This window comes from Homo sapiens, chromosome 14 (genome assembly GCF_000001405.40).
Source record: "Homo sapiens chromosome 14, GRCh38.p14 Primary Assembly".
Lineage (NCBI taxonomy): Eukaryota > Metazoa > Chordata > Mammalia > Primates > Hominidae > Homo > Homo sapiens.
Window position 1 is genome coordinate 33,984,029 of NC_000014.9, and position 26,038 is coordinate 34,010,066.

At 41.0% G+C, this 26,038-nt stretch overlaps 1 long non-coding RNA gene across 1 annotated transcript in view; it reads right to left on the reverse strand.

The window, feature by feature from the left end:
- The window catches only part of LOC102724945 (uncharacterized), a 244,858-nt gene that overhangs the window by 25,158 nt on the left and 193,662 nt on the right, over nucleotides 1–26,038 (reverse strand). The window contains exons 6-7 of the long non-coding RNA XR_001750942.2: nucleotides 2,984–3,134; nucleotides 528–1,479 (exon numbers count right to left, since the gene is read on the reverse strand). This is a non-coding gene — a long non-coding RNA (uncharacterized LOC102724945). The remainder of the gene's footprint in view (nucleotides 1–527; nucleotides 1,480–2,983; nucleotides 3,135–26,038) is intronic.

Here is a 26,038-nt window from a genome sequence, read left to right on the forward strand (position 1 = left end):
AAGCACATCTTGCGCCGCCCTTAATCCATTTTACCCTGAGTGGACACAGCACATGTTTCAGAGAGCACCGGGTTGGGGGTAAGGTTATAGATTAACAGCATCCCAAGGCAGAAGAATTTTTCTTAGTACAGAACAAAATGGAGTCTCCCATGTCTACCTCTTTCTACACAGACACAGCAACAATCTGATTTCTCTATCTTTTCCCCACATTTCCCCCTTTTCCACTCGACAAAACCGCCATCGTCATCATGGCCCGTTCTCAATGAGCTGTTGGGTACACCTCCCAGACGGGGTGGCGGCCGGGCAGAGGGGCTCTTCACTTCCCAGATGGGGCGGCCAGGCAGAGGCGCCCCCCGACCTCCCAGACGGGGCAGCTGGCCGGGCGGGGGCTGCCCCCCACCTCCCTCCTGGATGGGGCAGCTGGCCGGGTGGGGGCTGCCCCCCACCTCCCTCCCGGACGGGGCGGCTGCCGGGCGGAGGGGCTCCTCACTTCTCAGACGGGGCGGCTGGGCAGAGACGCTCCTCACCTCCCAGATGGGGTCGCGGCCGGGCAGAGGCACTCCTCACATCCCAGACGGGGCGGCGGAGCAGAGGCGCTCCCCACATCTCAGACGATGGGCGGCCAGGCATAGACGCTCCTCACTTCCCAGACGGGGTGGCGGCCGGGCAGAGGCTGCAATCTCTGCACTCTGGGAGGCCAAGGCAGGCGGCTGGGAGGTGGAGGTTGTAGTGAGCCGAGATCCCGCCACTGCACTCCAGCCTGGGCAACATTGAGCACTGAGTGAGCGAGACTCCGTCTGCAATTCTGGCACCTCGGGAGGCCGAGGCTGGCAGATCACTCGCGGTTAGGAGCTGGAGACCAGCCCGGCCAACACAGCGAAACCCCGTCTCCACCAAAAAAATACGAAAACAAGTCACGCGTGGCGGTGCGCACCTGCAATCCCAGGCACTCGGCAGGCTGAGGCAGGAGAATCAGACAGGGAGGTTGCAGTGAGCCGAGATGGCAGCAGTACAGTCCAGCCTCGGCTCGGCATCAGAGGGAGACCGTGGAGAGAGAGGGAGAGGGGTGTTTGATCTTTAGCACTTCTGTACTAGTTATCTATTGCTGTGTAACAAATTATCCCAAAATGTAGTGGCTTAAAACACCAACATTTATTGTCTCCCAGTTTCTGCCGGTCAGGAAGCTGGGCAGCTTAGCTGGGTCCCCCACCTCAAGGTCTCCCAGAAGGCAACAATCAAGGTGTCAGCCAGACTGCAGTCATCTCAAGGCTCCACTGGGGGAAGATCTGCTTCCAAGCTCCCTCATGTGGCTATTGGCAGCCTTAAGTCCTCACTGACTGTTGACCAAAGATGTCAGTTCCTTGCCATGTGGGCCCCTCCATAGGGCTACTCACAACATGGCAGCTGGCTGTTGCCTGCTGGCTGCCCTCAGTTCCTCGCCACAGGTCCCCCTCCACAGAGCAGCTCACAACATGGCATCTTGCCTCATCAGAGAGAAAGCAAGAAGGGACAGAAAGAGAGAATGTGAGCAAAAAGCCCAGTCTTTTGTAACCTAATCTCAGAGGCGACATCCCATCACTTTTGCTGTATTTTATTTGTTAGGAGCCAGTCACTACGTGCAGCTCATACTCAAGGTGAGGGGATTATGCAAGACCAGAGGGTGAACACCAGGACATGGGGACCACTGAGAGTCATCAGAGGAGCTGCTTTCCACAACTACTCTAAGGAGCCTTCCTTAGTCTCCTTTCTTAGCCGGTCTGTCTGGAACCTTAGCTTCAGGGCCAGCTCTACTCAGAGTGTGTGGGAGTCCAATGTCCCCCATCTGGACAGTGGCAGGATGAGAACTAGAATCCAAGACTCCTGGGTTCCTGGTCAGCCTTGTTTTCTGCTGCATGTGATGCTTGGTTAGACCTCCAGCACAGGCACAAGAAGCCCCACAATGCCAAGCAAAAGCATTTTAACTTCAAATAATAGGTACTAAGGTTTTTGAGCAGGACAATGCTATGACAAAAGTGAATTTTTTTTTTTTTTTTTTTTTTTTTTTTTGAGGCAGAGTTTCACTCTTGTTGCCCAGGCTGGAGTGCAATGGCACAACCTTGGCTCACTGCCACCTCTGCCTCCCAGGTTCAAGCGATTCTCCTGCCTCAGCCTCCCAAGTAGCTGGAATTACATGTGTGCCCCACCACGCCCGGCTAATTTTTGTATTTTTGGTAGAGATGGGGTTTCACCATGTTGGTCAGGCTGGTCTCAAACTCCTGACCTCAGGTGATCCACCTGCCTCGGCCTCCCAAAGTTCTGGGATTACAGGCGTGAGCCACTGCGCCCAGCCTGACAAAAGTGATTTTTAAGAAACATTAATGTGATGACTATGTATACAATGACTAGAAATTATATTAACTCCTATTTATTTATAAGTAGCATATGTTTATGGCCTAAAGTTTTGTATTCTGTTCTTATAAAAATATCCAGTGAAGTACTAATAAAATGGTCTGTGAAAACATTACTTGGGCCAAAGATATATTTAGTAATATATTACAAGGCCTGTGACCAAATTCTATGTTTAACACGTGATATTTTCAGGTGTATATTGAATTAAACTCTCAAAACTATTTCCAATGAATATATAGGGATTTCCAGAAAAGGTTGTTTTCTACTAACATAGGAAGCTCCTGGAAACCCAGGACCCACAAACCCTGAGAAACTACTGTAGACTGAAAAATGTTTTAAAGTATCAGACTGTGAAGTCTCCACCCCTAGCAATATCGACACACAAGCTTGCATCTAAATTAGTAAGATGGTGTGGCAGTCTTCCAGTTCCATCAGTACTCATCCTCACCTTCTCATTTTCGTAATACATTTTCTAAAGCTTAGCCGGGCACATCGCCCCATGAAGACTACATTTCCCAACATCCTTTACAGTTGGGTCAGCCACAAGAATAAAGTCTGGTCAACGGGGTATGAATGGAAGAGATGTGAGTCATACCTAGTTGTGTCCTTAAAAGGAAAGTTATGTGCTCTCCTTGCTCCTTCTCCTCTTCTTACTGGTTGGTATGCAGATGTGAAGACAGGAGCTGGGAGTAGCAACCTGGTAGTCAGTGATGGATGCTCCCATATCAGCCTCGTACCATTTATCTCTGGAAATTTCCATGACAGTTATAAACTTCTTTATTACATAAACCACTCAATCTTGGAGTCTGTATATTAGAACAGACTCTATAACTTTACTACTATAATAACACATCCACCTTTCCTTTTTGTTGGTTCTCTACATGCCCCCCACCCACCAAAATAATGGGCAGGTGCCTAGGCAAAGTGACAAGGGGGATGTATCAGTCCATATTAAATTCATATTGTCTTCTCCTGCTTACCTGTAATACCACCAGGATCATAATATCATCAACAAACTTCTATTGTTTTCTTGTTTTTGTTTTGTTTTGTTTTTTGGTTTTTTGCTATTTGGCTTTATTCCCCCTCCTTATTTGCCAATAATTAGAGGAGCAATAGTATCTTAAGTTCAGACTTGCTAATGAGCCAGGAGTGATTTTACATTTTCCTCTCTCAGGTTCAACCAGGGTCAGGGTCTAGGGATCCATCCAGTAATGTGCCAATGAATGTTTAACAACTGGCTGTCTAGGGGAAAACCAGCCCTGATTTGTAGTGTTTGCCAATTTCTACAGTGTAAATACTCCTGCCATTGGTCAATTTCCAGCCAGCAGTATCATGTCACTGAACATAAAGTCGGAAAGAAATGTACACAATCACCTCTTGTAAGCTAGTACTATTTAGCTCCCGAACATCACTGAGATCTAGCCATCTATCTCAGCCTGGGACTGCTTCTGATTTCTTCTCTTGGTTATACTCCAGAGGAGGATGCTAAATTTACTGTGATGTGCAGCAGGAACAGTAAAGACAATGTTCGGAGTGGTTCTGATGATCTTTGAACTACCCCTGTGGCCTTACCGTCATCTGATCTATGATGCTCTTGTAGTAACATTTCATCCTTTTGGTTAAAGGCAGTGGTTGAAAAATTACCTGCATATTGGAAACACCTGTGGAGTTTTAAAAACAAGCAATCCCTGAGTTCCAGCACCAGCAATTCTGATTCTATTGACCTGGGTTTGACAGTGTTGAAAGCAGATGATTTTAATGCGTAGCCAAGGTCGAGAACTATTGGTTTAAGGTAATACATCTCTAATTTATGTGACAGATGGTTGGTGTTACTATTTTTGCTTTAAGCATAAAGAGGAAAAAATTTACATGGCCTGGTGACAAGAGAAGAAGTAAAATGAATGGCAAGGCTAGGATAATTCCCGTAGTGAAAGGTAAGGTTGAAAAGAAGAGGTCTGTACTCTGCCCCGTCTATGGGTCCTGAAAAGAACTTTAAATATTATTTTTTGAATCCTTAGAAAGCACTAGTGATTCTTCCTTTTCAGTTAGAAAGTTTAGTGAGCATAGGAAATGCTGAAATTCTAGAAAACTGTCACAGATAATTTAATCATCTCTGCTATATTTTGCATCTGTATAAACTGGTATTATTCATTGTGAAATCCAGTTCAATTTCTTTCCCTCTCTATTAAACTTGCATTTATTCTTAGAGGCAGATGCTAAATTTTACTTTATTCAAAAATCTCTAGACAGCTACATCTTGTATTTTTTGAACATTAAGTTAACCTTTGAGGTTGTGACTTGAATTTTACATATTGATAAAGGTCCTAGTTTACTAGTGAATCATTTTCATGTAGTAACATTTCATACAGTACTCCATACGTCTATATGTAGGAACACAGATGATATAATCAAGATGATAAAGATTCGTTGAGCCTAGCATATGATAAGTAGAGCAGAAGAGGGTCAGCATGGACGAACATCGGAGCAGGAAGACCAGGAAGCCTACGTTCTAAGCTTTGATAATGTACATAAGTCTGATGCAGTTTCCTGATCTATAAAATGAGGGCATAGAACAAGATGACTTTGGTCCCTTTAACTTTAATATCTTGATAAGTGTCTCAAGACTGAAACCATTAGTAGTGTCAATGAACCAAATATCTCATGGGTTATTTTCTCTAGTTGTGGCAGATATTGACAAACTCTGAGGATGAGTGTGTACTTCTAGACTATCTTTTTCTGAGTTTATATTCCTTCTAGATCAGAGGTTGCAAATAAGTTGCATTTTCAGGTAGTAGCCACCCAAAGCACTGTGTTGAGGTTTCTGAAGCCAGGACCAAGCTTGATGGGAGTTAATAGTGCCATGATAAATAAGTGGTGATTGTCTTGGGCCTGGAAAGACAGAAAAACAGTATGTGTGCCCTGTACCTCATCCCTGTTGCCAACCTTTTCATTTAGATCAATATTTCCTTTATCTCCTATTAGGTAGTTCAGAGCTGAAGGAATTTTGGGGGTTCTGTATTCTGCTACTTTCCACCAGGAAAATTGAATTCATTGTAAAAGTGCTTTGGATCTGAATGTAGTTCAGCAAAGAAAATGTAGCTACTGCATCTTTGATAAGCAGCTTCAGTTTAGGTTACAAGTTTATAATGTTTAAAACAACCATCAGTGGATTCATTTAAACAACTTAATATATTTAAAGATTTAAAAACCCTGTTACTTAATATTGCTTTGGCTAAAACAAAAAATGCTTTTTGATTCTTTTGCTTTTAAGCCAGTCCCATCAGACACAGCCTAAAAGATAGAAATCGTGACCTTCCCTTACTTCCACCTCCTTAGGTCTGGATGGCTGCAGTTTTCTCTTTAGGCCACGTGACACCACAGCATGATCTGGAAAGTAATTAACTACTTTAGAAGTTAATCCAGCATATACTTTGAAGCACAAGCAATTCCATCCCTAATCGTTGCTTGGCAGATTGATTCTTCCTTCTGGCTCTTGAAACTGTACGTAGTAATTGCCCTGGAATTTAAAAATCATCTGGGGAATTCCTTGTTCCACATTTAGGGCACAAACAGCTAATGACTTAGACACGTTGTAGTGTGTGTGTGTGTGTGTGTGTGTGTGAGAGAGAGAGAGAGAGAAAGAGAGAGAGAGAGCATGTTTTCAGGGGGTGGAAAGGCAGTGTCACTGTGTGGATAGGAAATGTGTCTCTTCCTCTCACTGTAAGATCTGAAAATCTCTTATCTGACCAGATTGTAACACTGAGTTGCCAAACTAGCAAATTGATAAAGTGTTGGAATGTGTTTGCAGAGAGGAATCTTGATGGGAAGGGCTTCTTAGTTGCTCTTGTACACAGGAACTCTGGTTGCAGAACTGCCTACTTTCACGTTGGTTCTGATGATGCTGTTATGTTTGCAAAACAGTGCCGTGACTACTATCTTCAGACCAGCAATTAGCCAGCTTGTGAACTAACCATTCATTTGCTTTCTTTCCTCCATTTTTTTTTTTACAGTATCTTCATGACATTCAAACATCCATTTTTTCATCAAAAGATTTTACTTTCACTCTGTCCTCGTATGATTGATTTCCTTTTGTGTCTGTTATCTTTGTTTGATCCTTTGACTGTGTTGGGCACACCATCCTCCCTAAACTTACCAAGTTCCCTGACTTTGAGGGTGTGGGTCAGGCCCTCTTCCATTTTCTTCCATCTTCTCCAAATTTGCAGTCTCATCTAGCACTTGATTCACAAAGAAGTCTTCATTAAATGGTGTGCGAATTGACTATCATAATGGTTGTGTTTTGTTTATATTAGTTATTTATACTGTATCTCTTCAAAAACTGGGGTTTTCAACTGGGGTTTTCAGTTACCAGCTATCCGTCAATCAATATAAATCTCTGAATTGTCAAGCAGACCTCAATATTTTAGTAGTTTGAAATAATTAAATGTAATTGAACCAGTAAATTACTCCCAAACCAGAGTTGAGTCTTTGTTTTTTTAAATGTAAACTTGGCATAATAAGCACCAGTGCAAATAGAACATGTTGCAGTAACATCTCAATGTTTGCTTCCAAAGGTGTTTCTCTGTCAAACACTTCCATTCACTGAAAGAAAATAGCTTATCTTTAAGAGAGTATGCTTGCATTTGCCTTATTTATTTATTTAATTTGAGACAGAGTCTCACTCTGTTGCAACCTCCTCCTCCTGGGTTCAAGTGATCCTCATGCCTCAGCCACCTGAGTAGCTGGGATTACATGCATGTTCCACCATACCCAGATAATTTTTGTATTTTTAGTAGAGATGGGGTTTCACTATGTTGGCCCGGCTGGTCTCAAACTCCTGACCTCAAGTGATCCACCTGCCTTGGCCTCCCAAGATTCTAGGATTACAGGTGTGCACCACTGCCCCTGGCTGCATTTGCCTTTTAAATCTGTATATACAAACTTGCCATAATATATACCAATGCAGAAAGAAACATGATTTGGGAATAATTCAAGAAATCGGTCAAGAAGAACTTATTATTTACTTATAGTAAGAAGAAAACAGAAAACCTGAGCTTTGCTCTCAAGTTGGTTGTGGTTTAGTTGGAGGAGACAGGACTAAGGTGCATGAAACAACACTTACAATGTGAGCATTTTATTACAAGGCCCTAACCGTGCTCTGTAATTTCAGAGAGGAATAGGAACCCTAAGGACTGGTTGAAGGATTCAGGGATGACAGTATTGAACCAGGTGAAAGGAGAACAAGGTTTGGAAAGGCAGATGTGAGATGGTAAGCATTCCCAGTGAGGCATCTACAGGGACAAAGCCCTGGAAGGAATAACCAGAGTGATGGTCAGTGGGGCAGCCAGCCCACCCAGAGCACGAGGCTGGGAAACTGTGGGAATTATGTAAACTTCATAGGAAGGGCTCAAATTATGGAGGGGCTTTAAAGCCACACAGAGAGGCTCGAGGTTAATGTAATGGAAAATAAGGAGCCACTAAAGGATTTTGACCTAGGGAGTGATGATATAAAAGTGGTTTTCACACTCTATTTTGGGCAGTGATACATAGGATGAAGCAAGATGCGGGAAAGGCAGCTGAACTGACCTAGCAGTGAGATAAAACAGGACATTTTGGCTATGCAGGGGACTGTGGGGACAGCGGCAAGAACTAGGAGGTCAAAAGAAAATTCAACCAGTCTTGGTGTCTGGCTAGATGTGAGGATAGGGATAGAGCAAATCAACAGTAAATTTGAAGGTGGGTGAAGCGGGTGGGGAGGAGATTGATGACCGGACCAGGAAGTTATAGAAGATCTGTCTCTGAACGTGTGGAATTTGAAATGACAATGAGCACTGTAAGGAGGTAATGCCGAAGGAGACTAATTTGAGGAGGTAATGAGACCTTTTTTCAAAACCTGAGTCTGCAGTTCAAGGCTGCAGTGAGCTATGATTACACCATTGCACTCCAGCCTGCAACAGAATGAGACTTGTCTCTAAAAACAAAAATCACCTGAGTCTAAGTTGTCTAACCTCACTAAGTAGGATGATAGTACCTGGTTCACCTGGCTATGGAGCTGATTAACTGTGGTAAGAATGTAAAGATGTTTCATAATATGCTATGCAAATGCAAGCCTTTGGTATTGTACTGTATGTGTATCTCCTCCCCAGTTGCATATGCTACTGAGTAGGTATTAAAAACATAAACCCCCGATCATAAATTTCACACCAGTATGTTTTGAGCTGTATCTCTTCCAGTAGCAGGTAGACTGGTAGCAGTAAAATAGATAAGAGACAATGATGAGGGTCTAGCCCAGAGCAATGACCGCGTAAGGAGAGCTAAGTAGACTTATTTGCTTTCTAGGAGGAAAAACAAAATGACAGACTTTAATGATTAATTGTATGTGGGAAATGTGTAAGAGGGAGGTTGCTAGGATGATGTCCAGGCTTCTTGTGTGGGCAATTGATGGATTGTGGTTTAAATCTTTGAGATAGGAAAGACTGGAGAAACAGCAAATTTGAACAGGGAGGAATATCAGGAATTTAGTTTTGGACATTGTGGTAGGCAGAATAATGAACCCCTCCCAAAGTTATTCACATCCTAATTCCTAGAACTTGTGAATATGTTCCTTACAGTAAAAAGGGACTCTGCAGACATGATTACATTAAGAATTTTGAGATAAGGAGATTATCCTGGACTGTCCAGGTAGGCGCAATGTAACCACTTACATCCTAAGTGAAATAGGAGGCAGGAGAGTAAGATTCAGAGTCATGTGATGGAAGAAAGAGAGGCCATTGCTGGCTTTGAAGATGGAAGAAGTCACAAGCCAGTGCAGACAGCCCCTACAAGCTGGAAGAGACAAGAAAATGGATTCTACCCTAGAGCTTCCAGGAGGAATGTAACCCTGCTGATCCCTTGATTTTAGCCTAGTGAAACCTATATTGGACTCCTAACCTCCAAAACTTTCAGACAATACATTTGCATTGTTTTAAGCCACTACATTTCTGGAAATGTTTCCAACAGCAATAAGAAGCTGTTTGAGGTATGTGGGCGTTGCCCAAATAGAGATCTGGAGGACAGTTTACATAGCAGTCTGGAATAGAATTACAGATTTTGGAATCATTGGCACATGCTATCTGTCTATCTATATCTTTATCTATATCTATATATTGCAAGAAACATTCTGATTTCAGAGATGTTAAAATGCAATATATATATGATATATAATGCAATACATATATATTATATTATATATATATGTATTGCATTTTAACATCTCTGAAATCAGAATGTGTCTTGCAACTGATAAGGATTACAATCATTACAGGCAACAAACACACAGCTGTGTATGTCCAAGTGACTGGACTGGACAAATGTAACACTTTGGACATTTCAGTCAACAAAACACTTAAGCACTATTCAAGAAAGCACATGACTCCTGGGTATTGTCTGAAGACTTTCTATCAGTAAGTTTTAGAATGATCAAACAAGAGCCAACATCAAAACTTTCAGAGTGGGTGTCAATGACTTGGAAGAAACTCTTTGGGACATTAGTAGAGGTCTTGCTCTGTTGCCCAGCCTAGAGTGCAGTGGCAAGATCATAGCTCACTGCAACCTTGACTCCTAGGCTCAAGGGATCCTCCAACCTCAGCCTCCCAAGGAACTGGGACTGCAGGTGCACACCACCACACCCGGATAATTTTTATTTTTTTGTTTCTTGTAAAAACAAGGTCTTGCTATATTGCTCAGGCTTGGTCTTGAACTCCTGGGCTCAAGTGATCCTCCCACCTCGGCCTCCCAAAGTGTTGAGATTACAGGTGTGAGCCCCACACCCAGCTGAGAATTCTTTTAAGTAATGCTGATTTATCAATACTTTAGATGGAATAAGACACAATACTGTGATGGAAAAATAAGGATAAAGATAGTTTGAGTTAAAATGTAACTCTGAGAAGTTAGATTCTGAAAAATGTCAGATATATAGTATTTTGCTTGTATTTCATTTTTTATATGCACAAAAGTCTAAAAGAACTTTTTCAATACTTATGAAATAAACATTTTAAGTGATAAAGCATTATATCAACCTAATTAACAACACATTTTCTTCTGTCATTCATAAAATAATGGTGCATTTTACAATTGAATGGTGTCTCAAACTTGATGGTCGTTGTAGCTGTAGAGAAGGGTGAGATGATTGAAAGAGCATAAAATAAGTGGAGCAGAAGATCCAGAGGAAAATCTCTAGAAACATTACCAGGTAATTTGATAATATATATCTGAACCATAAAAATATTTATACTCCTTTATCCTGTTTTGGGTAATTCATTCCAAGGAAGTCATCTAAGAGGAGAAAAGAAAATAATTATATTAGGGGATGGTGGCTTACTTCCACGGGGAAGAAAATGGGCATGGACAGTAGTCTCAGAAGCTGGACTATGACCCTGAGTCCCAGCCCTCTACCACTGGCAAGGACACAGTGTTTGTGCCAAACTAGAGACATGGTCCATTGTTATTCAGAATGTAGTAGCAGCTCTGGTGAGCCAACAGCTTTGGTGTCCTGGTCATCTTTTTCTGTCTCCAAAAGGGTATGCAGAGCATCCTGACTGCTCTGTGTATCTCACATTTATTCTCACTGAGAGAGAGGAGGAAACTGGATCCATTTGATACCATCTAATATGGTGCCCTGCTATTGGGCAGTCTCTTGTAGAGCCTCTGCATGGGCCTTTCTCATGGACATGGCTGCCCTTTGGCCCAGGCACAGACCCCCTGGCTCAGTAGTAGTCATAGGAATGGCAGAGTCACATGCATAGAGCATAATGACTATGAAGAAAGACTTGGCTTCTTTCCCCAGAGGCAGGCTATGGGCATGGTGGGCACTTAGAATTTAGAGATTACCCAGACTACACAATTTGGGAAGAAGGGAAAGGGTGTACTTTTTATTGTAATAAAAAAAAAAGAAAGGAATCTAAATATCTGAAAATAGTGAAATGATTATTCCATTATTTTAGCACATTCACTCAATAGAATTGTATGCACATTTAAAGGGGACAATTCTGATTAACAAGAATAACAAGTAGCAAAATGGAAAAAGGAGACTATAATATTGAACATAGCTATGACTGAAATTTCATAAAAATATACATTATATGGAAAATTATAATAGTGAAGCAAATGGGATTATGAGTGACTATTTTCTCTATAGTTTGAATTTTGTGCAACATTTTTACATTATTTGATAATCATGATAGAGGTAGGAGAAAACATGATTTTAACAATTGTAGTTTATGAAATAAAGCCATCAATCCAACTTCCTAAAAGATGGACAATCTAGAGTTGCAAATTGCTAAACTATGAAATAATTAATAGAAACTATAGACAAGTGACCAATAAAAAGGTCTGACCTAAGTAAGTGGTGCTTTGAAATGGACTCAAAAAGACCCAGGCAGAATAATTCATTTCCCCTCATGTTTCTTTCATTAAAAGTAAATTTGTTTCCAGTGCAATCGTTCTTGCAAAAACCAAAATAGATTTTAATATCACTAATACTTTAAAACATCTTGACTTCTTCAAAGATCTCAAAGGATTTTCACACATAGTGAGCTTCTCTACCCTGGCGATTGGGTATAATTATCAGTCCCATTTTATGGAGGAGAAATTCGCAAAGACCTGTCTAAGATCTAGCATTGCTGAATAATAATTTTCCAGCTAGCAAAAGCTTATCAAGTTTTTTCAATAACTTTCCAGCTAGCTAAAGCTTAGATATCAAGTATCCCTGTATTTCTACATTTACCATTACTCTCTTTCATCAATGCATTAAAATTTTCTCTGCCTTCTTAAACAGGATATATTCAACATAATTTCACTTTTAAAATGGAGGGTTCTAGTTATTAAAATAAATATCAATAATTATATGCTAACTTACTTTATTACTTCATAGATTATTTAAATTTCTAATTATTGGTATGGAAAAATGGCCTCAGATACGATTTTTGCCTTTTGCATTGCTGAATCATTATTCCTGAATTTATGTATCAGGGTGTGTGTGTGGTGTGTGTGTGTTTGTGTGTATGAAACTATATACCCACTTCATCCATGTGGTCATAATGGAAAAAGCCGTAATTGGGAAATATGATCTGCTCCCACATAGGACCATAAATGTTTGGTACAGGAGTGGGCACATGACTGAAGATGTGCACGCATGAGCGCTCACAGACACACACACGCATACACACTCACACACACACACTCACACACTCACACACACTCGCATACACACACACTCGCATACACACACACAGTCGCATACGCACTCACCCACACACACACTCTCTCACACACACACACACTCAATCACACACCCACTCACACTCATATGCCATCCAGGCTCAGCAAGCCTGCCTTTCTTACCACTCCTCTTTAATTCTACTTCTGATTTGCCTTGGACATAGAGCCTAATAAGCAAGTTGTGTAAAATAAGAGTTTAAAACTTTTGTGCTAGGTACTTTTCTATATACAATTCTATATGCAAAATTATAAGCTTTGATATATGGCTATTCAGAGACTCTTTCATGGAGTGTTAAGATTGTTGGATAAAGAAGCCCCAATTAAAGGAAGGTTGAGAGATAGCTACGTGCTAGGCAAGGACATGATTATATTTGTGCTCCACTCCATAATTTCTGGAAAAGCTCCCTCATTTTATCTGGAATTGTTCACCCCCTCTATTCATATGATTATAATTGGAAAAGCCATGGTTGGGCAATGTGATCCCCTCTTCCCATAGGGTCATAGAGGTTTGGTACAGGAGTGGGCACATGACTGGCATTCAGTTTCTTCCCTGGACATTTGAAATAGGAAGGGAGGGAGGGAAGAAGAAGATCATTCTCTTTCCAAACGGCCAGACCTGTCAAATGACAATTCTGAGAGCTGTAGGTCATATTTCTGTCATGTGAACTTCAAGGCAGAAAAGGCAATAAGAGAGGATGGAGCAGACGCACAGAGATGAGAAATAAGGAGAAGCCTGACAGCCCCCGAGAGTCTGGGTCTAGTCCCTTCAGGAGGCCCAGCTAAATCTTTGCCCTTGGATTCCATGAGATACCCATGCATTCTGAGGGTGATATTCAAAATAGTTAATATGAAACTGGGGGAGAAAATTAGAACAGACAGGGCCAGACACCTGGTACATGGTTCTAGAAGTCCACTGCCATTCCACACGTTCCCTCTTTTGCCATGAAGTACAGAGAGCCTGAGAAATCCCCAAGTGGCTGAGGCAGACAGGAGGCATTTGGGGGTGTCAGAGTAATAGGAACAGAGGTATTTTACAATGTAAACAACCAGTATCCCCAAGCAAGTGCAACCGGCTATCAGCCCTGTCTGTATTCTTACAAGAAATGCTGCTAAGCTAGTTTTAGTGGTTTCTGATACAATTTTAAGAGTCCTAAAGAATATGATTTGTGCTGTGTCATGGTTTGCCATCTATTTTGCTGACCAAATTTGATGGTAACCTCATAAAGCCTCGGGAGCTGGAACAAACCTTGAAATAATTGTCTAGTTTCCTAACCAAATTTATTCTTCATCCTAATAATTTATTGCAAGGTAGAAAAAAAACTGTGTCTTGTAATTCAATATAAGCATCAGAAATACAACTTACAAATTAACTTTTTCTTATTACAATGTAATATATGTTCATTGTAGAAAAAAGTTAAAAATATAGGTGAAGAAAGCAAAAAATTTAACACTCACTTATTCAACCACCAGTTAAGGAATAAAAATCACTACTAACTCCTTTGTATATATCCTGATTTCATGTATTTATATAATTCCTAGTTTTTGAAAGAATAATTTTACATGGGAACCATATTTTACTTAATGTATTATGATCTTTCTTTCTACAAAATCCAGGTTATTTAAAAAAATCTCTAGTCCTATATTTCATTTCTTGGATGCTCAGGCATTAGAGGGAACAAGGAGGACAGAGCTTCAGTGTTATTTGAGGTGCAAGGTTTATGTAGCTCTTTACTCCTTGCTCACAGTCCAGATCTCATGAGAAAAGGCTGAAAAGGTTGACCTTATTTCCCGGCAGAATTACTCATGTTACCACTTTTACTTAGGATGCTACTTAGCTAGTTGTGTCTGACTATCTGAGAAAGGATGAATTTACACATTCAGCAGCAGACACACTGAAATCAACAAAGTCCATTATTTAATCTCCAACATTAGCTTCTCATTGCAGAATGAGGGGAAGACGAATGAGTTATGGAACTTCCTATATCACTTAGCTTCCTTCACTTTTATCCATTGGGAAGTAAAGTTTTTTCAGTAAGAAAAGCAGTTTGCATTTAATCACCAAGACATATATCCAGAGTATTGTGAAAGTGATACAAATTGCTGGTGTTACAGAGGATGTGCCAGGTCAAAGGAAGTGGCAGAATGGAGAAGAAATGGAGATGCCTGAGGATTCCAATGGAGAGGTCACAGACAAAGAGTCACAGTCACAGTAACAAATGTTGGTGAAGATGTTGAGAAACTGGAACCTTCATACACTGCTGGTGGGAATGTAAAATGATGCAACCACTCTAGAAAATAGTCTGGCAGTCCCTCAAAGTGTTAAACATGGGGTTATCATATGGCCTGGCAATTCCACTCCTACGTATATACCCAAAAGAATGAAAGCTTACATATACACAAAAGCATGTACACAAGTGTTCATAGTAGCGTCATTCATATAGCCAAACAGTAGAAATAATCCAAATGTTCATCAACTGATAAATGGGTAAACAAAAATGTAATTCAAACAGTGAAATATTATTAAGCTACAAAAAGGAATGAAGTGGCCAGGCACGGTGGCTCACGCCTGTAATCCCAGCCCTTTGGGAGGCTGAGGCAGGTGGATCACCTGAGGTTGGGAGGTTGAGACCAGCCTGACCAACATGGAAAAACCCCGTCTCTACTAAAAATACAAAATTAGCCAGGCATAGTGGCGCATGCCTGTAATCCCAGCTACTCTGGAGGCTGAGGCAGGAGAATCACTTGAACCCAGGAAGTGGAGGTTGCAGTGAGCTGAGATCGCACCATTGCACTCCAGCCTAGGCAACAAGAGCAAAACTCCATCTCAAAAAAAAAAAAAAAAAGGAATGAAGTATTGACACAGGCTATAATATGGATGAACCTTGAAAACATTATGCAAGTGAAAAAAGTCACGAAAAACTGCATGATTTCATTTATATGAAATGCCCAGAATGGGCAAATTTATAGAGATAGAAAGTAGATTAATGGGCTGGGAAAATAGAGGAGGGGAAATGGGATTGATTGCTAGTAGGTACAAGATTTCTTTTGGGGATAATGAAATGTTCTAAAATTAATTGTGGTGATAATTACACAACTCTTATCTGTTGTACTGTATATCCTAAATGGGTGAATTGTGTGGTATGTAAATTATATTTCAATAAAGATTTTTTAAAACAAGAGAGAAAGTTATACTTCCACAAGTCCATTTCACCTTCCTCAACTTCTCTGGCTGACATCAAGCCCGTTGTACCAAGATACCAGTCTAGAAATAGTAGTGTGGTCTTTCTGTACAATGTTCAACTGTGAGTCAGGGCTTTAAAACAAAGCCCAGATGATAGACCAATATAGCAAACCAAATTTAGTCCTTGTTAAAAAATACCACAAATGGAAATGTTAGCTTTAGGGCCTCATGAGCTATTGCAACATAGTTAAAATTACTATAGATATGAGATCCGTCAAATGGATCAAACATTTGCCAGTCCCTGATTTGAGTTAAAGTCTTCCAAAGATCATAAGAGAATACAAGAGTAGTTTTTTAAGGCCTCAGAAAACAAAAAAAAAAAAAAAAAAGGAAGGAAGAAAGGAATGAACAAGAGAAGGAAAGACAAACGAAGATGTTCACTAAACAAATAAGTTCACCAAAGGGCTCAAATGCATTCTTCTTCTTCTTCTTCTTCTTCTTCTTCTTCTTCTTCTTCTTCTTCTTTTTTTCTGCTTGCCTTGCCTTGTCTTTCTAAAAGAATTGAATGGTCCTGGTGTTCAGGGCCCATGGGCCCCCTTTTGAGTTCTTCCATGGCATTTATACGGCCCTGTGAGAGTGAATTCTAATGACCTAAGGCCCTGCATAATCCAGCTTGTGCTCACAACTTGCTTCATCTCATTCCACAGCTGCCTGTGCACACCCCGCTCCCACACACCGGCTCCTTCCATTCCTCACATCTGCCAGGATCCCCTGACCTCAGGGCCTCTTACCATACTGGTCCCTCTGCCTGAATGCTCTTCCACACTCTTTTCATGGTTCCCTTGTTTTCATCCTTTAGGTCTTAGCTTAAATGTCATCTGTCAGAGAGGCCCTCCCTCACCACTGCATATGAATTAAGTAGGTTCCCGTGACAGTCTCTCATCTCATCCAATCAGTTTACTTCATAGTATTTATTGCAACAACATTCCACAAATAATTATGCAGTCCCTGCTTATGCACTTGGGTACTGTTTTAGGTGCTGGGGATACAGCAGTGTACAAAACAATTCAATCCGATTTGTTGTTTCTTGCTTCTTCGTTGTCTTCCCCATGAATCTAGAACTTCTTTGTAAGCAGGCACTGGCTGCAAGGGGAGACAGCATGGTGAAGTAATCTTGAGCAACAACTCCAAGCCAGAGCCTTGGTTAGAATCCTGGCTCTTATTACTTGGCCAAATGAATTAATTGCTCTGAACCTCAGTTTCCCCATCTGTAAAACAGGCATAGTGACAGTACCTTCTTCTTGGGGTTCTTATGAGGACTGCACAAGTTAGCATGGTTTAGTCACTTGGAATAATGCTTGGCAAATAGTAATCCCTATAAATATGTTTGTTAAAGTTTTTTGATTGTTGGACCAATACAGTACCTAACAAATAGTTGGTTTTTAGTTAAATGAATTAATAAATTGTGGTGCCTGCAGTTAAGCCTACATTTATAAGCAAGCCAAACAAGAAGACAGAGCAGATCAGCAAGAATAAAAGGCTCCCTTTCCTCTTGGAACTATTTATTGGAAGAAAGCCTTTGGTTTTATAGATAGAATGTGACATTTTTGGTCAACTCCAAAGAAGTGGCAGGATTTTCTTTGGAATTTGCTGGAAATATTGTGGTTGTTTTCTACTGAAAGAGGTTCTGGGGCTTTCCAGGGAGGAAGGGCTGTCAGCTCCAGCTGAGTCTGTCATCTGGCTTCCACTGTCACATGAAAGAAACTATCTGTCTCCAGGAGTTGGTGGAAGAATCACAAAGACACTTCCGTACTTATCCTCGATTTCTCCTGTCCTCTTCTCATTGCATACATCTACAATTTCTAATTTGATATATTTGTCCACTAGAAAATCAAGGTTGAGTTGTGAAGGAGCTAAATGCAAACTATTCTGATGGCATTCCCAGTAGCTCCTTCCAGTGAACGTTAGCTATCACATGTATGAAACGCAGCGCGTCAGCACCTGAATGTTCTGTATGTGCAAACTGCCAGGAAAGACAAAATCAAATAGAAGAATGATGATTCAAGTAATCAAAGCCATTGGGAGCCATTGGCAGGTATTTACCAGGATCCTACTAAGCTCTGGCATTTTTGAAGATGCCATGGGAAAGACCAAAAATACAAGAAAACAACACATTTTGCCACAGATTTGCCTTTAAGAAGTCAATAGTCTGTTTGGCTCAAAATTTTCATACATCAAAATGGGGGAAGTTTTATAAAGACGTATATATATATGTGTGATAGGCAGAATAATTCCCTCCCCAACTCCGTCCCCGCAAAGATGCCCACATCCTAGTTCCAGGAACTGTGAATATGTTAGGTTACATGGCAAAGGGGAAATTAAAGTTGCAAATGCAGTTAAAATTGCTACATCCATTGACCTTAACATGAGGAGATTATCTTGGATTATCCAGTGAGCCCACTCTAATCACAAGAATCCTTAAAAGTGGAAGAGGGAGGCAGAGGAAGAGAGCTAGAGAAAGAGATACGACTAACGACTATGGGAGTGGGATAAAGAGGTTATATTGCTGGCTTTGACGATGGAGGAAGGGGACCTCAGCAAAGGAGGGCAGGCCACCTCCAAAAGGCGGAAAAGGAAAGGAAACAGATTCTTCTTTAGAGCTTCCAGAGGGAACTCATCCATCCTGCCATCTGGATTTTAGCCCTGTTCAACTTCTGACCTGCAGAACTGCAAGATAATAAATTTGTGTTGTTTTGAGCTACAAAGTTTGTGACAATTTGTTAAAGCAGCAATAAAAAACTAATACAACATATCATAAAATCCTAAATTGAGTAGTATGAGAAAATAAATTAGGAAGCAGAAAGAGAGCAATGCTGGCTATAGTTAAAGAAAATGACAGAGTGAGTGCGGTTTGAGATTGCTGTTTTCACAGCTTGTAGGACAAATGTGGAAAGACAAAAGCTGAGAAAGGATATGTATCAAATCCACAATATCATGAAGGGAGCAGAGATTTTTTTTTTTTTTTTTTTTTTGCTAAACCCCAGATTATCAGAATCAGGAAGCACCTCTCTGAAACTTGAAAGAGGGAGCTTTAGGATGATGGAGAGGAGGGAAACAGAAAGGAAGAGAGTGGGGAAGAAGGAAGCAAGGAAAGAAAAAAAAGAGAGAGACGGGAGGAAGGAACTGCTTTATGCAATTTAAGACCTTTTTATCCTTTAACAGAACAGAAGCTGAAAATATTAAAAGCTTTAAACTTTTCAGATAAATGTAGGGATGCCAGATCCAAAATGAGTTCTGGGAAACCAAAATGTTTGGGGTGAAAATCAATCCTTTGTTGGATAATTTGCTCTCCCCTGGCCTGAGACACTAAATCCTGTCAGAGACAGACCTAGCTTTGAGCGACTTAGAGCTGACACAGTACGGCCATTTTTGTTCTTATCTCTGGTTCAAGGATTCCTTGGAAAATAACAAAGTTGGCTTAAGTGTTCCTCTGCCTCCAATCTATAATGCGCCTGTTTTTCTGGTCTAAAAAAAGCAATCAAGAAAGGTCCTCATGCACTCTTTTAGGGATGAAATTGAAACCTGAGGTCTTGACCAGCTCAGAGCTTCTTTCATGACTGTGGGGGTGTTAGTCACAGTTGTTCTCTTGCTGCACAGATATGTAATTATTCTTCTATAGAAACTCTTTCCCCCTCAGACTATATTCTCTGCTTCCTACTGGAGTGCCTTCCTCTGAGCTATTGAACAGCATTCTACTCTTCAGGATGCTACAAAATAACGGGAGGTGAAGTGATGCCTGTGGAACTTGCCAGGCCTCACTGGTTGTTGCATCCTGCAGCACAACCCACATTTGCACAGATGGAATACGTGGGCTCAGTTTGGATGTGTTGCAGGAGAAAACTGACCCTGCCAGCCCATGAAGCTGGACACTTGGGCGTTGAGGAAGGAAGCATTGGTGGGGGCATTACTGCAACTGTTTTCACAGTTATGGGACGAAACCCAGAGGCCAGATGCTCAGCATTACTCACCCTTGGAGTCTCCTGTGCTGACGTGTGATAATCTCCTAAAAGCCTGTGAGTCCAGTTAACCAGTAAGGTTTGGGAACTGGATATGGTGGACACCTTCTGATCCATAGTTTGACTAGACTCAAAAAAAAAAAAAAAAAAGGAGAACTTAACCTACCAATCTCATCCATTTGCTTTCCCATGGAAATGGTCACAGTGACTATAAAATCAGCTGTAATTCATTTTTAAAGCCAAGTAAGTACCTGTCATGTTTCCTTTTAAAATGATGGACTTAAAAATGTTTTAGGTTCCCAGCAGTTGTTCAAAAGCAGATAGGAACTATAACTGATACACATAGACTGCTAAAATAAAACCATTTTAACCATTAGATAAGGCAGGTCTGCCTCTTTTCACTTAAAGATGTCACTGGACATTTATAAAATTTGGGAAGTGGAGGGCTTCTTTGACCAACATTATTGACCGTCACTCTTACAGGAAGTAACCTTATTAACACCAAAGGAAAACCTTGGAGCTAGTTCAGTACGTACTTTATTTTATTCTATTTTTTTTGAGACAGAGTCTTGCTCTGTCACCCAGGTGGGAGTGCAAGTGGCACAATCTCAGTTCACTGTAGCCTCCACCTCCCAGGTTCAAGTGATTCTCGTGCCTCAGCCTCCCTGGTAGCTGGAATTACAGGCACAAGCCACCACGCCCAGATAATTTTTGTATTTTTAGTAGAGGTGGGGTTTCTCCATGTTGCCCAGGCTGGTCTCAGACTCTTGACCTCAGGTGATCTGCCTGCTGGCCTCCCAAAGTGCTGGGATTACAGGCATGCGCCACCATACCCAGCCTAGCAGGCATTTTAAATGGACTGTGTTATCAATTGAAGGCCAAAAGAGCAGTCGGAAACAAATGACCTTAAAGTGAATTTTCTGCTGTTGAAAAAAAAAGCCTTAGGAATTAGCATCTCTGCCCTGCTATTCCATTGATAGGGATTTCCACCGATATTCAAAGAACTTTGCTTTTTTATCCCTGCCACAATGTTTATTTCTATATCAACCACCAATATATTAGGCAATTTTGTGCATAAGGTCTTTCCTAAAGCTCGGCTCAGTTCTATTAACCTTTATGCAGTAATTTATAGCTAAGGTCTAAATGGCACTGGTGCATGTAAATAGTGTCTGTGGGCTCTGCCGTCATGAGGAAAGCACTGTGCTTAAGTGGCTCCAACACATTTGCTCAGAAAATTGTGGAAGGAACTGCTGCGATCTCTGTAGGAAATTATTTAGTGAAATTCTACAGAAGATTAATGTTGCCTTGTAACAGACTCTTTGTTGTGTTGAGTCTACAAGTTTCAGTGTGGAATCTAAGGCTTTTTTCTTTTCTTTTCTTTTCTTTTTCTTAACATCAGTCTCTGAGCTGCATCTAAAAAGAAGAAATTTTGGAAAACAGAAATCTGAGGGGCTTTCAAATTTCCTTGTGATTTGTCAGCAAGGATGAGTGAATTTGAGAACTCTTTCTACATTTTAATAGTGAATGCGCAGAAAGTAGAGATCCCCTTGGCCAAGTTGATGCCATGGAACAGATTCTTCAAACTTCCTTACAACCTTCCTTTTACCTTTCTCATCCAAAAGCAGTCTCTGTCTCTGACCACTCTGCAGACCTGACTATGCAGACTTATGGAGACCCTACGATATTCACCTGGCCCAGTGAATCCACTGTTCAAAGGTCTTCAGTACAGCCAACAAGAGCTAGAAGGTCAGTGTGGTCAGAGCATGGCAAATGGGGTAGGGAAGTGGAAGATCAGGCTAAACCCCACCCTTGGAAGGGCTTAGGAAGAAAGAGTTGGGTCATCTCAGCTTGTCCCCAGAGCAGCCAACATTCCGAACCAGTGGCCCTTTTCGGGGGTCTCAACCTGGGTGTGCCCTGAACCCTGCCAGACCTGCATTCCTGGGACCTGGCTAGACAACACTGTTCCAAAGTATAAGTGATGTACAGTCAATGAGGAGCATCAACACCGAATACAGTGTGTGGACCTGGCTTGAATCCTCATTTGAATAAACCAACTTTAAGTAGACATTCTTGGGACATTGAGGCAACAGGATTCAGACTAAGCAAAGATGAAATAAAGAAATTACTGTTAATTTGTAGGTTAAAATGGTGTTGTAATTGAGTAAGGAAAGTTCATCATTTTCTGAGTTTTTAAGAGTGAAATGTCATGATATCTATGATTCAAATTAAGTTAATTCAGCAAAATGTACAGGAGACATGGCAAAATGTTACTAATTGTTCTGCTAGGTGATATGTGTGTGGAAGTTATACTATTATTTTTACATTGTTTGGAAATACCCATAATAAAAAGTTTAGAACATAAAAAGGAAAAAAATACCATTAGTTATTAAACTACATACTTAAAGCCAGGGAGGAAGGACTGAGGGTTTGTAACCAAAGAAGTAAAAACGAGGTGCTTTTTTGTGAACAGAGGCAGCTTTCCTCCATCATTTTCTGCCTGAGGCACTGGTTTCTAGTCATTAATTTATTAAACATTAGTTAGAAACTACTTGGAGTGAGCCCCTAGGGGAGATAAAAAAATGAAGGATAAGACACCCCCTCCACCCTCAAAGAGTAAGAGTCTAGGAGCAGAGAAAGTATGCAGATTCCATAGTTGCACTCTGGAGCCAGACCACCTGGGTTCCGATTCCAGCTATGACACATACTAGGTGTTTATCCGTACCAGTTATTTAAGCTTTGTGTGAATACTAAGTGGATTTATCTTGTAGGCTGTCATAATCATTAAATGAACTAATGTAAGAAAAGTTCTTAAAATTAGTACTTTGTTTATATTTTAAAAAAAAAAGCAATATACAAAAAACACAGTGAAAGTTTTTCTAGAAAGAGATTTTGATATAATCCCAGTGGGGAGAATTCATTCCAGGATTCAGGGCACAATGTGAGCAAAGATTCAGAGAGTAAAGCATAAAGAGCGCTTTGGAAATAGCAACTAATCCATTGCAGTTAAGACTTTTGGGTCTGTTAAAAGGAGTGCTGAGAACTGAAACCAGAAAGGCAAGATGGGCCCGGATTACCCAAAGGGCCAAGAATACCAAGCCAAAGAGCTGTGGCTCTGTCCTGCACGCGCTAGAGGACCACCAAGAGTGTTTGAGCCAGGGAGAAGCATGAATGTTGGAGAAACACTAATTATTCCCTGTGTTTTAAATAATCACTGTGTTCATAGCAAGTGCCAGACATTGTGGGCAAAATGGTCCCTGCCCTCATGGAAGCTTCAGGTTAGAGGAGGAAGGAGATGTTAAATAACCGAACGAATAAGAGTTGTGAAGGAAAAGTGCAGAGTGTTCTGAGAGCTCGTAAGACACCTTAACGTAGATGGAGGGGTGAGGAAGTCAGGCTGAAGAGGTGACACCGGGCTGAGATGTAAAGATATGCAGGAGTGGGCCGAGTGGGCTGGAGAGAAGAGTTTGCTGGGCAGAAGAACAGGACGAGCATAGGCTCTGTGGCAAGAGGGGAAATGACACTCCAAACCTTCTGGGAAAAGGCCAGTGGAGGTAGAACCAGGGGCCTGGGAGATTGTGGTTTGAGATAAGAAAGTGTTAGGCAGGGTTAAATTACCCACCACCTTGGCCACACTGATTGAGCCAGGTATCAACACCTGGCCAAAAGACAGGCTCCTTTAGACTCCTCCGCCAGGTCATCATAAGGTGACCTCGAGTGACACCAGATAGTTATTGCCAGAACCAATCAATGCCTCTCTCTTGGGGAGTTTGAACGTGAAATAGACAGGGAGAAAAAGACTCAGGAATAGAGAAAAACAGACTGACAGATAAATAGAATACAGTGGCAATGCAGAAACAGACATAACATGAACCCTGTAGGCGATATTAAGGATCTTGGTCTTTATGTCAAGCACAAATACCGGTAAGAAATGATGGGGACTGAAAGAGGATTACAGAAGCAGAAATGAAGAAGAGGGGGTGGTAGTTTCAAAAATATGTCCATAAGGACACTTCTCACTTAATTCCTTCTTTTTGAGTGTAGGCTAGACTTAGCTGTTTCCTTTTAACAAACAGAATATGGTAAAAGTAATAGTGTGTGACTTCCAAGATTAGGTTCTAAAGAGGACTGCAGCTACCACCCTGAGCACATACGTTCTCCCCCAACCCACTCCTCCTCCTCTCCCACTACCCCTCCCCAAGTGGGGAAAGTAAACTGTCATGTGGTGAGAAGCCCTGTAGAGAAGTCCATGGTGAGGAACTGAAGCCTCCAGCCAATAGCCAGGAAGGAACTGAGATCTGCTTACAACAATGAGTGATTTTTTTTCTTTAATTTCCATGTTAATTTTAGATTCAGAGAGTACATGTGCAGGTTTGTTACAAGGATATTTTGCTTGGTGCTGAGGTTCGGGCTTCTACTAGTCGTGTCACCCAAATAGTAAACATAGTACCTAATAGAAAGTTTTCCAGCCCTTACCCCCCAAACTTTGAAGTCCCCAGCGTCTATTGTTGCCATCTTATGTCTGCGTGTAGCCAAGATTTAGCTCCCACTTATGAGTGAGGACATGAGATAATTGGTTTTCTGTTTCTATGTTAATTCGCTTAGGATAATGGCCTCCAGCCACATCCGTGTTGCTGCAAAGGACATAATTTCATTCTTTTTATGGCTGTGTAGTTTTCCATGATGTATATATACCATATTTTCTTCATCTCATCAGCCATTGATGGGCACCTAGGTTGATTCCATGTCTTTGCTATTGTGAACAGTGCCAAGATGAACATACGAGTGCATACGTCTTTTTGGTAGAACGATTTATTTTCTTTGGGGTGTATACCCAGTAATGGGATTGCACGGTTGAATGGTAGTTTAGTTTTAAGTTCTGTGAGAAAACTCCAAACTGCTTTCCACAGTGGCTGAAGTAATTTATGTTCCCACTCTGCAGCCTCACCAGAATCTGCTGGGTTTTGTTTTTTTTTTACTTTTTTATAATAGCCATTCTGGCTAACGTGAGATGGTATCTCATCGTGGTTTTGATTTGCATTTATCTGGTAATTAGTGATGGTGAGCATTTTTTCATATTTTTTGGCCACTTGTATGTCTTCTTTAGAGAAGTGTCTGCTCATGACCTTTGCTCACTTTTTTTTTTTTTTTTAATTAAACAGGGTCTTGCTCTGTTATCCAGACTGGAATGCAGTGGTATGATCATGGCTCACTGCAACCTCAAACTCCCGATTTGCCCACTTTTTAATGGAGTTATTTATTCCTTGTTGATTTGTTTAAGTTCTTCACAGATTCTGGATATTAATTCTTTGTCAGATGCATAGTATATGAATATTTTCTTCCATTCTATAGATTCTCTATTTACTCTGTTGATGGGTTATTTTGCTATGCAGAAGCTTTAGTTTAATTAGGTCCCACTTGTCAATTTTTGGTTCTGTTGCAATTGCTTTTGAGAACTTGGTCATAAATTCCTTGCCAAGGCCATTGTCCAGAAGAGTATTTCTTAGGTTTTCTTCTAGGATTTTAATAGTTTGAGGTCTTACAAAGTCTTTAATTCATTTGAGTTAATTTTTGTATATGGTGAAACATAAGGGTCCAGTATCATTCTTCTGCATGTGGCTAGCCAGTTTTCCCAGCACTATTTCTTGACTAGGAGTCCTTTCCTCATTGCTTTTTCTTGTGGACTTTGTTGAAGATCCATTGGTTGCAGGTATGCTGCATTATTTCTGCCTTCTTTATTCTGATCCATTGGTCTATGTCTCTATTTTTCTACCAGCACCATGCTGTTTTGGTTACTGTGGCCTTGTAGTGTAGTTTAAAGTTGAATAATGTGATGCTGCTGGCTTTGTTCTTTTCATTTAGGATTGCTTTGGCTATCTGGGCTCTTTTTGTTGTTGTTCCCTATGAATTTTAAAATAGTTTTTAAAATTTTTAAAATAATATTAGAGATAGGGTCTTGCCATGTTGCCCAGGCTGGTCTTAAACTCCTGGGCTCAAGCAATCCACTCACCTCAGCCTCCCAAAGTGCTGAGATTACAGGCATGAGCCACCCGGCCTGGCCAGTTTTTCTAATTCTATAAAAAATGGCATTGATCATGAGTGATCTTAAAAGTGGTTCTCCATCCGTAGTCAACCTTTAAGATGACTGCAGCCCCAGATAACAACTTGCCTACAACTTCATGAGAGATCAGCTAAGCTAAGC